The 16,354-nt window shown below is 38.3% G+C and overlaps 2 long non-coding RNA genes across 2 annotated transcripts; both read right to left on the reverse strand.

Moving 5' to 3' along the window:
• Positions 1-523: 523 nt before the first annotated feature.
• LOC105377218 (uncharacterized) lies at positions 524-1,324 on the reverse strand. Its single transcript, XR_938618.2, has 3 exons — positions 1,242-1,324; positions 1,069-1,154; positions 524-980 (listed from the first exon to the last, which is right to left on the reverse strand). It is a non-coding gene; the product is annotated as an uncharacterized LOC105377218 (long non-coding RNA).
• A 3,617-nt stretch (positions 1,325-4,941) lies between these two features.
• Positions 4,942-11,802, reverse strand: LOC124905302 (uncharacterized). The gene is made up of 3 exons (XR_007068455.1): positions 9,811-11,802; positions 8,975-9,723; positions 4,942-8,886 (listed from the first exon to the last, which is right to left on the reverse strand). It is a non-coding gene; the product is annotated as an uncharacterized LOC124905302 (long non-coding RNA).
• Positions 11,803-16,354: the final 4,552 nt, after the last annotated feature.

Raw genomic sequence — 16,354 nt, forward strand, 5'->3', positions numbered from 1 at the left:
TAATAAAACTTGCAGGTTTTGTGGCTTCGGGTACATCACAGAACCTGCTGACATATGATGTCTCCCCCGGACACCCATCTTTAAAATTTCTCTCTTCTGTACTCTTTCCCTTTATTTCTCAGGCCAGACTACACTTGGGGAAAATAGAAAAAAATCTACATTGAAACATTGGGGGCTGGTTTCCCCTTATAATAGATAGCTTCCATCTTGTTTTTATCTTGGGCTATCAGGTTTTTCCACATGGAACTCAATTGGCTCCCAAATGTCACTTTGCAAATTCTTCAAAAAGATTTTTCCAACCGTCTGTATAAAAGAATGGTTTAACTATGTAAAGTGAATTCATACAACACAAAAACAGTTTCAAAAAATAGTTTCTTTCTACTTTTTATTCGGGTATATTCTGTTTTCCCATGTGGGCTTCAATGTGCTCCCAAATATCCCTTCACAGATTCTCCAAGGAGAGATTTTCCAACCTGCTGAATCAAAAGAAAGGTTTGACTCTGTCAGTTGAATTCACACATCATAAAGCAGTTTCACAGATAGTTTTTATTGATTTTTATCTGGTAATATTCTGTTTTTCCTTATGGGTTTCCATGGCCTCCCCAGTTTCCCTTTGCAGATTGTTCAAAAAGAGTGTTTCCAACCTGCTGAATAAAAAGAAAAGTTTAACTCTGGGACATGAATCCAAACATCACAAAGCATTTTCACAGATAGCTTCTTTTTAGGTTTTGCCTAGGGATACTCCTTTTTTTCCTTCATTGGCTTCAATGGACCAAAATATATTGTTCCAGATTGTCCAAAAGGAGTGCTCCAAACGTGCGGAATCAAACGAAAGGATTAACTCTGTGAGATGAATCCACACATCACAAAGCAGTTTCACAGATAGATTCCACTGTTTTTCTGGGGATATTCAGTTATTCAACAGCTCAGTGGACTCCAAAAAGTCCCTTCACAAATTCTCCAAAAAGAGTTTTTCCAATCTGCTGAATCCAAAGAAAGATTTAACTCTGTGAGACAAATCCATACATCACAAAGCAATTTCACAGATAGCTTCTTTCTAGATTTTACCTGAAGATATTCGTTTATTTTTTCCATGGGCCTCAATTAACTTCAAAATATTTCTTCATAGATCCTTTAAAAAGAGTATTTCAAACCTGCTGAATAAAAGAAAGGGTTAACTCTGTGAGATGAATCCACACAACACAAAGCAGTTTCACAGATATGTTCTTTCTAGTTTTTACCTAGGTATACCATATTTTTCCCCACAGGCCTCAATGGGCTCCAAAATGTCCCCTTGCAGATTCTCAGAAAATGTGTTTCCAACCTGCAGTATCAAAAGAAAGGTTTAATTATTTGAGGTGAATCTACATACCACAGAACAGTTTCACAGATAGCTTCTTTCTAGTTTTTATCTGGGGTTATTCGAATTTTCCTCATTGCCATTGGTGGGCTCCCCATTGTCCTATCACACATTCTCCAAAAGTGTTCAACCCTATGAGAGGAATCCAGGCATCACAAAGTAGTTTCACAGATAGCTTCTTACTTATTTTCTTTTTTTTTAAATGTCTAACCCCATCACAATTTTATTATTATTATTATTGTTATTATACTTTAAGTTTTAAGGTACATGTGTACAATGTGCAGGTTTGTTACATATGTATACATGTGTCATGTTGGTGTGCTGTACCCATTAACTCATCATTTAGCATTAGGTATATCTCCTAATGCTATCCCTCCCCCCTCCCCCTACCGCACAACAGTCCCCAGTGTGTGATGTTCCCCTTCCTGTGTCCATGTGTTCTCATTGTTCAATTCCTACTTATGAGTGAGAACATGTGCTGTTGGGTTTTTTGTCCTTGCAATAGATTGCTGAGAATGAGTAATGGGATGGCTGGGCAAATGGTATTTCTAGATCTAGATCCCTGAGGAATCGCCACACTGACTTCCACAATGGTTGAACTAGTTTACAGTGCCACAAACAATCTAAAAGTGTTTCTATTTCTCCACATCCTCTCCAGCACCTGTTGTTTCCCGACTTTTTAATAATCACCATTCTAACTGGTGTAAGATGGTATCTCATTGTGGTTTTGATTTGCATTTCTTGGATGGCCAGTGATGATGAGCATATTTTCATGTGTTTTCTTGGCTGCCTAAATGTCTTCTTTTGAGAACTGTCTGTTCATATCCTCTGCCCACTTTTGGATAGGGTTGTTTTTTTTTTTTTCTTGTAAATTTGTTTGATTTCATTGTAGATTCTGGATATTAGCCCTTTGTGAGATGAGTAGGTTGCAAAAATTTTCTCGTATTCTGTATGTTGCCTGTTCACTCTGATGGTAGTGTCTTTTGCTGTGCAGAAGTTCTTTAGTTTCATTAGATCCCATTTGTCAATTTTGGCTTTTGTTTCCATTACTTTTGGTGTTTTAGACATGAAGTCCTTGTCCATGCCTATATCCTGAAAGATAATGCCTAGGTTTTCTTCTAGGGTTTTTATGGTTTTAAGTCTAACATGTAAGTCTTTAATCCATCTTGAATTAATTTTTGTATAAGGTGTAAAGAAGGGATCCAGTTTCAGCTTTCTACATATGGCTAGCCAGTTTTCACAGCACCATTTATTAAATAGGGAATCCTTTCCCCATGGCTTCTTTTTGTCAGGTTTGTCAAAGATCAGATAGTTGTAGATATGTGGCATTATTACTGAAAGCTCTGTTCTGTTGCATTGGTCTATATCTCTGTTTTGTACCAGTACCAAGCTGTTTTGGTTACTGTAGCCTTGTAGTATAGTTTGAAGTCAGGTAGTGTGATGCCTCCAGCTTTGTTCTTTTCACTGAGGATTGTCTTGGCAATGTGGGCTCCTTTTTGGTTCTGTATGAAATTTAAAGTAGTTTTTTCCAATTCTGTGAAGAAAGTCACTGGTAGCTTGATGGGGATGGCATTGAATCTATAAATTACCTTGGGCAGTATGGCCATTTTCATGATATTGATTCTTCCTACCCATGAGCATGGAATGTTCTTCCATTTGTTTGTATCCTCTTTTATTTCATTGAGCAGTGGTTTGTATTTCTCCTTGAAGAGGTTCTTCACATCCCTTGTAAGTTGGATTCCTAGGTATTTTATTATCTTTGAAGAAATTGTGAATGGGAGTTCATTCATGGTTGGCTCTCTGTTTTTCTGTTATTGGTGTATAATAATTCTTGTGATATTTGCTCATTGATTTTGTATCATGATATGTTGCGGAAGCTGCCTATCAGCTTAAGGAGACTTTGGGCTGAGACGATGGGGTTTTCTAAATATACAATCATGCCATCTGCTAAAAGGGAGAATTTGACTTCCTCTTTTCCTAATTGAATACCCTTTGCCTTCTTCTCCTACCTGATTTTCCTGGCCAGAACTTCCAACACTATGTGGAATAGGATTGGTGAGAGAGGTCATCTCTATCTTTTGCCAGCTTTCAAAGGGATTGTTTCCAATTTTTGTCCATTCAGTATGATTTTGGCTGTCAGTTTGTCATAGATAGCTTTTATTATTTTGAAAGACATCCCATCAATACCTAATTTATTGAGAGTTTTTTTTATTATTATTATACTTTAAGTTTTAGGGTACATGTGCACATTGTGCAGGTTAGTTACATATGTATACATGTGCCATGCTGGTGCGCTGCACCCACTAACTCGTCTTCTAGCATTAGTTATACCTCCCAATGCTATCCCTCCCCCCTCCCCCCACCCCACCACAGTCCCCAGAGTGTGATATTCCCCTTCCTGCAAATCAAAACCACTATGAGATACCATCTCACACCAGTTAGAATGGCAATCATTAAAAAGTCAGGAAACAACAGGTGCTGGAGAGGATGTGGAGAAATAGGAATACTTTTACACTGTTGGTGGGACTGTAAACTAATTCAACCATTGTGGAAGTCAGTGTGGCGATTCCTCATGGATCTAGATCTAGAAATACCATTTGACCCAGCCATCCCATTACTGGGTATATACCCAAAGGAATATAAATCATGCTGCTATAAAGACACAGGCACACGTATGTTTATTGCAACATTATTCACAATAGCAAAGACTTGGAACCAACCCAAATGTCCAACAATGATACACTGGATTAAGAAAATGTGGCACATATACACCATGGAATACTATGCAGCCATAAAAAGTGATGAGTTCATGTCCTTTGTAGGGACATGGATGAAATTGGAAATCATCATTCTCAGTAAACTATCGCAAGAACAAAAAACCAAACACCGCATATTCTCACTCATAGGTGGGAATTGAACAATGATATTGAGAGTTTTTAACAAGAAGCGTTGTTGAATTTTGTCAAAGGCCTTCTCTGCATCTATTAAGATAATCATGTGTTGTTTGTCTTTGGTTCTGTTTACATGCTGGATTATGTTTATTGATTTTCATATGATGAACCAGCCTTGCATCCGAGAGATGAAGCCCACTTCATCATGGTGGATAAGCTTTTTGATGTATTGCTGGATCCAGTTTGCCATATTTTATTGAGGATTTTTGCAACAATGTTCATCAAGGATATGGGTCTAAAATTCTCTTTTTTTGTTGTGTCTCTGCCAGGCTTTGGTATCAGGATGATGCTGGCCTCATAAAATGAGTTAGGGAGGATTCCTTCTTTTTCTATTGATTGGAATAGTTTCAGAAGGAATGGTACCAGCTCCTCCTTGTACCTCTGTAGAATTCGTCTGTGAATCCATCTGGTCCTGGGCTTCTTTTTTGTTGGTAAGCTATTTATTATTGCCACAATTTCAGAGTCTGTTATTGATCTATTCAGAGATTCAATTTTTTCCTGGTTTAGTCTTGGGAGAGTGGATGTGTCGAGGAATTTATCCATTTCTTCTAGATTTTCCAGTTCATTAGCATTAGAGGTGTTTATAGTATTCTCTGATGGTAGTTTGTATTTCTGTGGGATCGGTGGTGATATCCTCTTTGTCATTTTTTATTGTTTCTATTATATTCTTCTCTCTTTTCTTCTTTATTTGTCTTGCTAGTGGTCTGTCAATTTTGTTGATCTTTTCAGAAAACCAGCTCCTGGATTCATTGATTTTTTGTAGAGTTTTTTGTGTCTCTATTTCCTTCAGTTCTGCTGTGATCTTAGTTTTTTCTTGCCTTCTGCTAGCCTTTGAATATGTTTGCTCTTGCTTCTCTGGTTCTTTTAATTGTGATGTTAGGATATCAATTTTATATCTTTCCTGCTTTCTCCTGTGGGCATTTAGTGTTACAAATTTCCCGCTACGCACTGCTCTGAATGTGTCCCAGAGATTCTGGTATGTTGTTTCTTTGTTCTCATTGGTTTCAAATAACATCTTTATTTCTGCCTTCACTTCGTTATGTACCCAGTAGTCATTCCAGAGCAGGTTGTTCAGTTTCCATGTAAATGAGCGGATTTGAGTGAGTTTCTTAATCCTGAGTTCTAGTTTGATTGCACTGTGGTCTGAGAGACAATTTGTTATAATTTCTATTCTTTTACATTTGCTGAGGAGTGCTTTACTTCCAAGTATGTGGTCAATTTTGGAAAAAGAGTGGTGTGGTGCTAAAAAGAATGTGCATTCTGTTGATTTGGGGTGGAGAGTTCTGTAGATGTCTATTAGGTTCACTGTGTGCAGAGCTGAGTTCAATTCCTGGATATCCTTTTTAGCTTTCTGTCTTGTTGATCTGTCTAATGTTGAAGTGGAGTGTTAACATCTCCCATTATTGTTGTGTGGAAGTCTAAGTCTCATTATAGGTCACTAAGGACTTGCTTTATGAATCTGGGTGCTCCCATATTGGGTGCATATACATTTAGGGTAGTTAGGTCTTCTTGTTGAATTGATCCCTTTAGCATTATGTAATGGCCTTCTTTGCCTCTTTTGATGTTGTTTCATTTAAAGTCTGTTTTATCAGAGACTAGGATTGCAACCCCTGCTTTTTTTGTTTTCCATTTGCTTGGTAGATCTTCCTCCATCCCTTTGTTTTGAGCCTATGTGTGTCTCTGCCTGTGAGATGGGTTTCCTGAATACAGCACACTGATGGGTCTTGATTCTTTATCCAATTTACCAGTCTGTGCCTTTTAATTTGAGCATTTAACCCATTTGCATTTTAGGTTAGTATTGTTATGTGTGAATTTTATCCTGTCATTATGATATTAACTAGTTAGTTGATGGAGTTTCTTCCTAACCTTGATGGTCTTTATAATTTGCATGTTTTTGCAGTGGCTGCTACTGGTCGTTCCTTTCCACATTTAATGCTTCCTTCAGGACCTCTTTTAGGGCAGACATGGTGGTGACAAAATCTCTCAGCATTTGCTTGTCTGTAAAGTACTTTATTTCTTCTTCACTTATGAAGCATAGTTTGGCTTGATATGAAATTCTGGGTAGAAAATTCTTTTCTTTAAGAATATTGAATATTGGCCCCCACTCTCTTCTGGCTTGTAGAGTTTCTGCTGAGAGATGAGCTGTTAGTCTGATGGGTTTCCGTTTGTGGGTAACCCGACCTTTCTCTCTGGCTGCCCTTTACATTTTTTCCTTCTTTTCAACTTTGGTGAATCTGACAATTATATGTCTTGGAGTTGCTCTTCTTGATGAGTATCTTTGTGGCATTCTCTGTATTTCCTGAATTTGAATGTTGGCCTGAATTGTTAGATTGGGGAAGTTGTCCAGGATAATATCCTGCAGAATGTTTTCCAACTTGGTTCCATTCTCCCTGTCACTTTCAGGTACACCAATTAGACATAGATTTGGTCTTTTCACATAGTCCCATATTTTTGGAAATTTTGTTCATTTCTTTTTATTCTTTTTTCTCTAAACTGATCTTCACACTTCATTTCATCTTCCATTGCTGATACCCTTTCTTCCAGTTGATTGCATCAGTTACTGAGGTTTGTGCATTCAGCACGTTGTTCTCGCGCCATGTTTTTCAACTCCATCAGGTTCTCTAAGGACTTTCTTCATTGGTTATTCTAGTTATCCATTGATCTAATTTTTTTTCAAAGTTTTTAACTTCTTTGCCATTGGTTCAAACTTCCTCCTTTAGCTCAGGGTAGTTTGACCTTCTGAAGTCTTCCTCTCACAATTCGTGAAAGTCATTCTCTGTCCATCTTTGTTCCATTGCTGGTGAGGAGCTGCATTCCTTTGAAGGACGAGAGGTGCTCTGATTTTTAGAGTTTCCCGTTTTTCTGCTCTGTTTTTTCCCCATCTTTGTGGTTTTATCTACCTTTAGTCTTTGATGATGGTGACGTACAGATGGGTTTCTGGTGTGGATGTCCTTTCTGTTTGTTAGTTTTCATTCTAGCCATCAGGACCCTCAGCTGCAGGTCTGTTGGAGTTTACTCAAGGTCCACTCCAGACCCTGTTTGCCTGGGTGTCAGCAGTGGTGGCTGCAAAACAGTGGATATTGGTGAACCGCAAATGCTGCTGCCTAATCATTCCTCTGGATGTTTTGGCTCAGAGGCGTACCCGGCCCGGTAAGGTGTCAGTCTGCCTGTACTGATGGGTGCCTCCCAGTTAGGCTACTCAGGAGTCAGTGACCCACTTGAGGAGGCAGTTTGCCCATTCTCATATCTCCAGCTGTGTGCTGGGAGAACCACTAGTCTTCCAAACTCTCAGACAGGGACATTTAAGTCTGCAGAGGTTATTGCTGTCTTTTGTTTGTCTGTGCCCTGCCCCCAGAGGTGGAGCCTACAGAAGCAGGCAGGCCTCCTTGAGCTGTGGTGGGCTCCACCCAGTTCAAGCTTCCCAGCCACTTTGTTTACCTACTCAAGCCTGAGCAATGGCGGGTGTCCCTCCCCCAGCCTCACTGCCACCTTGCATTTTGATCTCAGACTGCTGTTCTAGCAATGAGTGAGGCTCAGTGGGCATAGAACCCTCTGAGCCATGTGTGGGACATAATCTCCTGGCGTGCCATTTCTGAAGCCCATTGGAAAAGCACAGTATTAATGTGGGAGTGACCTGATTTTCGAGGTGCCGTCTGTTGCCCATTTCTTTGACTAGGAAAGGGAATTCCCTGACCTCTTGAGCTTCCTGGGTGAGGTGATGCCTCACCCTGCTTCAGCTCATGCACAGTGTGCTCCACCCACTGTCCTGCACCCACTGTCTGGCACTCCACAGTGAGATGAACCCAGTACCTCAGTTAGAAATGCAGAAATCACCCATCTTCTGCATTGGTCATGGTGGAAGCTGTAGAGTGGAGCTGTTCCTATTTGGCCATCTTGGCTGCACCCCTCTTTCTTATTTTCATCAGGGGATATTTGCTTTCTCCTCATAGGCCACAATGGGCCCTGAATGTACCTTCACAGATTTTCCAAAAAGAGTTCTGTCAACCTGATGAATCAAATGAAAGGTTTAACTCTTTCATTAATCTTTACATCACAAAGCAGTTACACAGACAGCTTCTTTCAGTTTTTATGTAGGGGTATTCAATTTTTCCTTTAGGCCTGAATGGGCTCCCAAAAGTCCCTTTGCTGATTCTACAAATAGAATGTTTCCAACCTGCTGAATCAAAGGAAGGATTTACCTCTGAGATGAATCCACACATCATAGAGCACTTTCCCAGATACCTACTTTCTAGTTTTTACCTGGGCATATTCGTCTTCATCAGCCAGGAGTTACATAGACAGCTTCTTTCTAGTTTTTATCTGGGCATATTTTTTTTTCCATTGGGCCTCAAAGGGGCTCCCAAATGTCCCTTCACAGATTATCCAAAAAGATTGTTTTTAACCTGCTGACTCAAAAGAATGGTGTAAACCTTTGAGATGAATCCAGAAATCATTGAGCAGTTTGACAAATAGCTTCTTTCTAGCTTTTACCTGGGGCTATTACGTTGTTCTCCATGGTTCTCAACGGTCTCTCAAATGTCCACTGTCAGATTTTCCAAAAACCGCGTTTCCAACCTGCTGAATCAAAAGAAAGGCTTAACTCAGTGAGATGAAAGCGCAAATCCCAAAGTAGTTTCCCAGATATCATCTTTCTAGTTTTTACCTGTGGATATTAGGATTTTCCCAATAGGTCTCAATGGGGGTCCAAAATGTCCCTTTGCAGATTCTCCAAAAAGAGTGTTTCCAACCTATTGAATCAAAAGAAAGGCTTAACTCAGTGAGACGAAAACACAAATCACAAAGCAGTTTCCCAGATATCGTCTTTCTAGTTTTTAACTGAGGATATTAGAATTTTCCTGAAAGGCCTTAATGGGACCCAAAATGTCTCTTTGCAGATACTGCTGAATCAAAGGAAATGTTTAACTCTGTGAGATTATTCCACACATCACAAAGCAGTTTCACAGACAGCCTCTTCCTAGTTTTTATCTAGAATTTTTTTTTTCATGGGCCTCAATGGGCTCCCAAATATCCCTTCACATGTTCTCCAAAAAGAGTGTTTCCAACCTGCTGTATCAAAAGAAAGATTTAACTCAGTGAGATGAATCCACACATGACAAGGCAGTGCCACAGATGTCTTCTTTCTGGTTTTTACCTGGGGTTATTCTGTTTATCCCCATAGGCTGCAATGGGCTCCCAAATGTCCCTTTGCAGATTCTCCTAATAGGGTGTTTACGATCTGTTGAATCAAAATAAATGTTTAAATCTGTGAGATGAATCTATACATCACAAAGCAGATTCAGAGATAGCTTCTTTCTAGTTTTTACCTAAGGCTATTCAGTTTTTCCCCATGGGCCTCAGTGGGATCCAAAATATTCCTTTGCACATTCTCCAAAAAAGAGTGTTTCCAACCTCCTGAATCAAAAAAAAAAGTTTTAACTTGGTGACATGAATCCACACATGACAAAGCAGTTTCATAGATAGCTTCTCTCTAGTTCTTACTTGGGGATATTCGGTTTTCTTTCATGGGCTTCAATGGGGTCAAAAATGTCCCCAGGCAGAATCTCCAAAAGAGTGTTTCCAATCTGCCGAATCAAAAGAAAGGTATACCTCTGTGAGATGAATCCGTATCACAAAGCAGTTTCCCAGATAGCTATTATCTAGTTTTTAACTGGGGATATTAGTTTTTTTTTCCCCCCCATGGGCCTCAATTTTATCCAAAATGGCCTTTCACAGTTTATCCAATAAACGTGTTTCCAACTGGCTGTCAAAAGAGAGGTTTAATTCTGTGAGATGAATCCACACATCACCAAGCAGTTTCACAGATAGTTTTTTTCTAGTTGTTATCATGAAATATTCTGTTTTCACCATGGGCCTCAATGTGTTACCAGATATCCTTTTGCAGATTCTCCAAAAATAGTGCTTGCAATATGCTGAATCAACAGAAAACTTTATCTCTGTGAGATGAATTTACAGATGACAAAGGAGTTTCACAGATAGTTTGCTTTTTGTTTTACCCTGTGATACTCAGTTTTTGCCCATAGGCCTCAATGAGCTTCCAAATGTCCTTTCAAATATTGTCAAGAAAGAGCTTTCAACCTGCTGAATAACAGAAAGGTTTAACTCTGAGATAAATCCACACATAAAAAGCAGTTTCACAGATAGCTTCTTTCTGGTTTTTACCTGGCTATATTCGTTTTTTTGTTTTTTATGGGCCTCAGTGGGCTCTCTGATGTCCCTTCACAGATTATCTAAAATAGTGTTTCCAACCTGCTAAACCAAAGAAAGGTTTAACTCTGTGGGATGAATCCACACATCCCAAAACAGTTTTAGAGATAGCGTCTTTCTAGTTTTTATCTGTATTTGTTTTTCCCCATGGGCCTCAAAGGCCCTCAACTGCCCTTGGCAGATTCTCCAAAAAGAGTGTTTCCAACCTGGTGAATCAAAAGAAATGTTTAATTCTGTGTAATGAATCCACACATCAAAAAGCATTTTCACAGATAGCTTCATTCTAGTTTTTATTATGGGATATTCAGGTTTTCCCCATGGGCCTGAATGGATTCCAAATTGTCCATTCACAGATTCTCCAAAAAGAGCGATTCCAACTTGTGGGATCAAAAGAAAGCTTTAACTCTGTTAGATGAATTTACATGTCACAAAGCAATTTCACAGATACTTTGTTTCCCTTATTTACATAGGGATACTTTTTTCCCCATGGGCCTTAATGGACTCTAAAATGTCCTTTCACAGATTCTCAAAAAAGACAGTTTTCAAACTGTTGAATCAAAAGGAAAGTTTAACTCCATGAGCTAAATCTGCACATCACAAAGCAGTTTCACAGATAGCTTCTTCCTAGTTTTTATCTGGAAATTTTCCATTGATTTTAATTTGGGATCTATGGTCTCCCAATTATCCCATTGATTCTCCAAAAAGAGTATTTCCATCCTACTGAATGCAGAGAAAGGTTTAACTTGGTGAGATGAATCCACACATCACAAGACAGTGCCACAGATAGCTTCTTTCTACTTTTTACCTCGGGATATTCAATTTTATGGCCATATGATGCAATGGGCTCCGAAATGTCCCTTTGTAGATTCTCCAAAAACAGTGTTCCCAACCTGCTGAATCAAAAGAAAGTTTTAACACTTTGAGATGAATCTACACATCCCAAAGCAGTTTCACCGATAGGTAGTCTTTACTTCTTTATCTGTGGATATTTGTTTTTTTCCCCTGCGCCTCATTGCATTTCCAAATATCTCTTCACACATTCTACAAAAACAGGTTTCCAACATGATCAATTAAAAGAAAGGTTTTTGTCTGTGAGATGAATCTACACATCACAAAGCAGTTTTACAGATACTTTCTTTCTAGTTTTTACCTACGGATATTTGGTTTTTCCCCATGGACCTCATTGGTATCCAAAATACCCCTTCACAGATATTCCAGAAAAAGTGTTTCCAAATGCTTGAATCAAAAAAAAAAAAAAAAAAAAAAGGTTTAACTCTGTGAGATAAATCCATGCATCACAAATAAGTTTCACAGATTCTTTCTAGTTTTTATCTGGGGATATTAGTTGTTTTTCCTTGGACCTCACTAGGCTCCCAAATATGCCTTTGCAGATTCTCCAAAAAGAGTGTTTCCAACCTGCTGAATCAAAAGAAAGATTTAACTCTGTTAGATGAATCCACACATCACAAAGCTGTTTCACAGGTGTCTTCCTTATAGTTTTTGCCTTGGGATATTCTGTTTTTTTCCTTATAGGTCTCAATGGGCTCCCAAATGTCTCTTCACAGATTCTCCAAAAGAAGTGTCTCCAACCAGCTGAATCAAAAGAAATGTTTAATCCTGCAAGATGAATTCACACTCACAAAGCCATTTCAAAGATAGCTTCTTTTTAATTTTTATCAGGGCATATTCTGTTTTTCCCCATAGTCTCAAAGGGCTCCCAAATATCCCTTCACAGATTCTCCCAAAAGAGTGTTTCCAACCAGTTGAATAAAAAGGAAGGTTTAACTTTGTGAGATAAATCCACACATCACAAATCCATTTCACAGATAGAGTCTTTCTTGTTTTTACCTGGGAATACTCTGTTTTTCCCCACAGTCATCAATGAGCTCCAAAATGTCCCTTTGCAGATTCTACAAAAAGTGTTGCAACCTGCTGTATCAAAAGAAAAATTTACTTCTGTGAGGTGAATCCACACATCACAAAGTAATTTCACAGATAGCTTCATTCTAGTTTTTAACTGAAAATACTTGGTTTTTCTGCATAGTCCAGTTGGAGCACAGAAATGGCCCTTCACAGATTCTCCAAAAAGAATGTTTCCACCTGATGAATAAAAAGAAAAGTATAATTCTGTGAGAAGAATCTACCCATCACAAAGCATTTTCACAGATAGCTTCCGTCTGGTTTTTGTCTTGGGATATTCGTTCTTTTCCAATAATTGTCCATGGGATCCCAAATGTCATTTTGTAGATTTTTCAAAAAGAGTATTTTCAATCTCCTGAATAAAAAGAAAGGTTTATCTCTGTGACATGAATCCAGATATCACAAAGAAGTTTCACGGATACCTTCTTTCTAGTTTTATCTGGGGATATTTGGTTTCACCCCATAGACCTCAAGGGTCTCCAAAATGTCCCTTTGTAGATTATGCATAAAGAGTGTTTCAAAACCTGTGGAATCAGGAGAAAAGTTTAACACTGAGAGATGAAAATATATATCACAAAAAGTTCCTCAGATAGCTTCTTTGTTGTTTTTATCTGGGTATATGTGGTTATTCCCCTTTGGCCTGAAAGGGCTCCCAAATATTCAATCGCATATTTTCTGAAAAGAGTGCTTTCAACTTGCTGAATCAAAAGAAATGTTTGCCTTTGTAAGATGAATCCACATATCACAAAAAAGTTTGACAGACTATCTTCTTTCTAGTTTTTATCTGACGATATTCAGTTTTGCCCCACAGACCTCCAGGAGCTCCCAAATGTCCCTTTGCAGATTCTACAAAAAGACTGTTTCCAACCTGCTGAACTGAAAGAAAGGTTCAACTCTGTGAGATGAATGCGCACATCTCAAATCATTTTCACAGATAGTTTGTTTTTAGTTTTTATATGAATATATTTGGGTTTTCCTCGACTGCATCAATTGGCTCATAAATGTGCCTTTGCAGATCCTCCAAAAGCAGTGTTTTCCACCTGCTGAATCAAAAGAAAAAATTAATTCTGTGAGATGAATCCATACATCAAAAAGCACAAATAGCTTTCTTCTAGTTTTTATCTGTGGATATTTGTTCTTTCCCAGTAATTCTCAATGGGCTCCAAAGTGTTCCTTTGCAGATCCTACAAAAAGGGTGTTCCCAATCTGCTGAAGGAAAAGAAAAAAAATACTGTTTTAAGATGAATCTACATGTCTGAAAGTTTCACAGATAGGTTCTTTCTAGTTTTACCTGGGGATATTCGATTTGTCCCCATAGACCTCAATGGGTGTTCAAATGTCCCTTTGCAGATTCTCCAAAAAGAGTGTTGTAAACGAGCTAAATGAAAAGAAAGATTTAACTCTGTTCAATGAATCCACACATCACAAAGCAGTTTTACAAATACTTTATTTCTAGGTTTTATCTGGGGCTATTCTCTTTCTCCCCCAGGCCTCAATGAGCTCCCAAATGTCTGTTCACAGACTCTACACAGAGTGTTTCCAACCTGCTGAATCAAAAGAATGTTTTAAATCTGTGAAATGAATCCACACATCACAAAGCAGTTTCACAGATGGCTTCTTTGTAGTTTTTATCTGAAGATATTCTGTTTTTTTATATTGATCCTCAATGGGCTCTGAAATTTATCCTCATAGACTATACAAAAAGAGTATTTTCAACATGCTGAATCAAAAGAAATATTTAACTCTGTCAGGTGAGTCCACACATCATGAAGCACTTTCACAGAGACCTTCTTTCTAGTATTTTTCTGGGATATTCTGCCTTTCTACATAATCGTCAATGGGTGCCAAATGTCCCTTTGCAGATACCGCAAAAAGAGTGTTTCCAAACTGCTGAATTGTAAGAAAGGTTTAACTCTGTGAGACGAATCGATACATCACAAAGCTGTTTCACACATAGCTGCTTTTTAATCTTTATCTGGGGATATTCTCTTTCTGCCTTTAGACATCAAAAGACTTCCAAATATCCCTTCACAGATTCTCCAAAAATAGTAATTCCAACCTGCTGAATAAGAAAACGTTAACTCTGTGAGACGTATCCCCACATCACAAAGAAGTATCACACAGAGCTTCTTTGTAGTTTTTATCTGGGTATATTCTTTTTTTCCCTATAGGCCTCAATGGGCTCCAAAATATCCCTTTGCAGATTCTACAAAGAAAATGTTTCCAACCTGCTGAATAAGAAGAAAAATTTAACTCTGTGAGATTAATCAAAGCAGTTACTCTGATACCTTCTTTCTAGTTTCTTATCTGGGGATTTTCCGTTTTACCCGTAGGCCTTAATGGGCTCCAAAATGTCCCTTTGCCAATTACCCAAAAAGACTGTTCACAATCTGCTGAATCAAAGGAAAGTTTTAATGCTGTGAGCTGAATGCAAACATCACAAAGCTGTTTCACAGAGTTTCTTTCTAGTTTTTATCTGGGGATATTCAGTATTTCCCCATAGGCCTCAATGGGTTACAAATTGTCACTTCATAGATTTTCAAAAAGAGTGTTTCCAACTTGCCAAATCAAAAGAAAGATTGAGTATTGTGAGATGAATCCACACATCATGAAGCCGTTTCAGGAATATATTTTTTCTAGTTTTTATCTGCGTATATTCCATTTTTCCCCACAGTCCCCAGTGTGCTCTGAAATGTCCCATCACATATTCTCCAAAATGAGTGTTTATAACCAGCTGAATCAAAAGAATGGCTTAACACTGTGAGATGAATCCACACATCACAAAGAAGTTTCACAGGTAGATTCCTTCTAGGTTTTATCTGGGGATATTCAGTTTTGTTCCATAGGCCTCCATGGGCTTCCAAATGTCCCTTCACAGATTCTCCAAAAACAGTGTTTCCAACCTGCTGAATGAAAAGAAAGGTTCAAGTTGGTGAGAAGAATCCATGGATCACAAAGCAGTTTCACAGATAACTTCTTGTAAATTTTTAACTGTGTGTATTTGATTTTTCCCTGGTAGCATCACTGGGCTCCCAAATTCACAGATTCTCCAAAACGAGTGTTTCCCTCCTGCTGAAAGAAAATAATTAATTCTGTGAGATGAATCCACACATCAAAAGGCAATTTCACAGATAGCCTCCTTCAAGTTTTTATCTGGGAATATCCAGTTTTTTCTCCATAGGCATAAGCAAGCCCTCAAACATCCTTTTGCACATTTTAAAAAAAAAAAGATGATTCCAAACTGCTGAATCAAAAGAAAAATTTCCTTCTGTAACATGAATCCACATGTCACAAACAGTTTCACAGATAGCTTCTTTCTAGTTTATCTAAGGATATTCAATTTTTTTTCCCATAGGCTTCTAGGGGAGTTAAAATGACCATTCATAGATTCTGGAAAAGGAGTGTTTTCAACCTACTGAATAAACCAAAGCTTTTAATCTGTAAGATGAATCCGCACATCACAAAGCATCTTCACAGAGCTTTATTCTAGTTTTTATCTGGGTTTATTCAGGTTTTCCCCTTATGCTGCAATTGGCTCCCAGGTTTCTCTTTGCAGATTCTACAGAAAGAGTGTTTCCAAACTGCTGAATCATAAGAAAGCTTTTTCTCTTTGAGAGGACTCCACACATCACAAAGCAGTTTCATATATAGCTTTTGTCTAATTTTTATTTGGGTATATTCATTTTTTCTCAATAGGCCTCAATGGGCTCCCAAATGTTTCTCTGCAGGTTTTCTAAAAACAGTGTTTACACTTTGATGAATCAAAGGAAAGCTTTAAGTCTGTGAGAGGAATCCACACATCAGAAAGAGGTTTAAGAGATAGCTTCTTTTGACTTTTTATTTGGGTATATTCAGTTTTTCTGCATAGGCCTCAATAGGCTTCCAAATGTCCCTAAAC

This window comes from Homo sapiens, chromosome Y, assembly GCF_000001405.40.
Source record: "Homo sapiens chromosome Y, GRCh38.p14 Primary Assembly".
Taxonomy (NCBI): domain Eukaryota; kingdom Metazoa; phylum Chordata; class Mammalia; order Primates; family Hominidae; genus Homo; species Homo sapiens.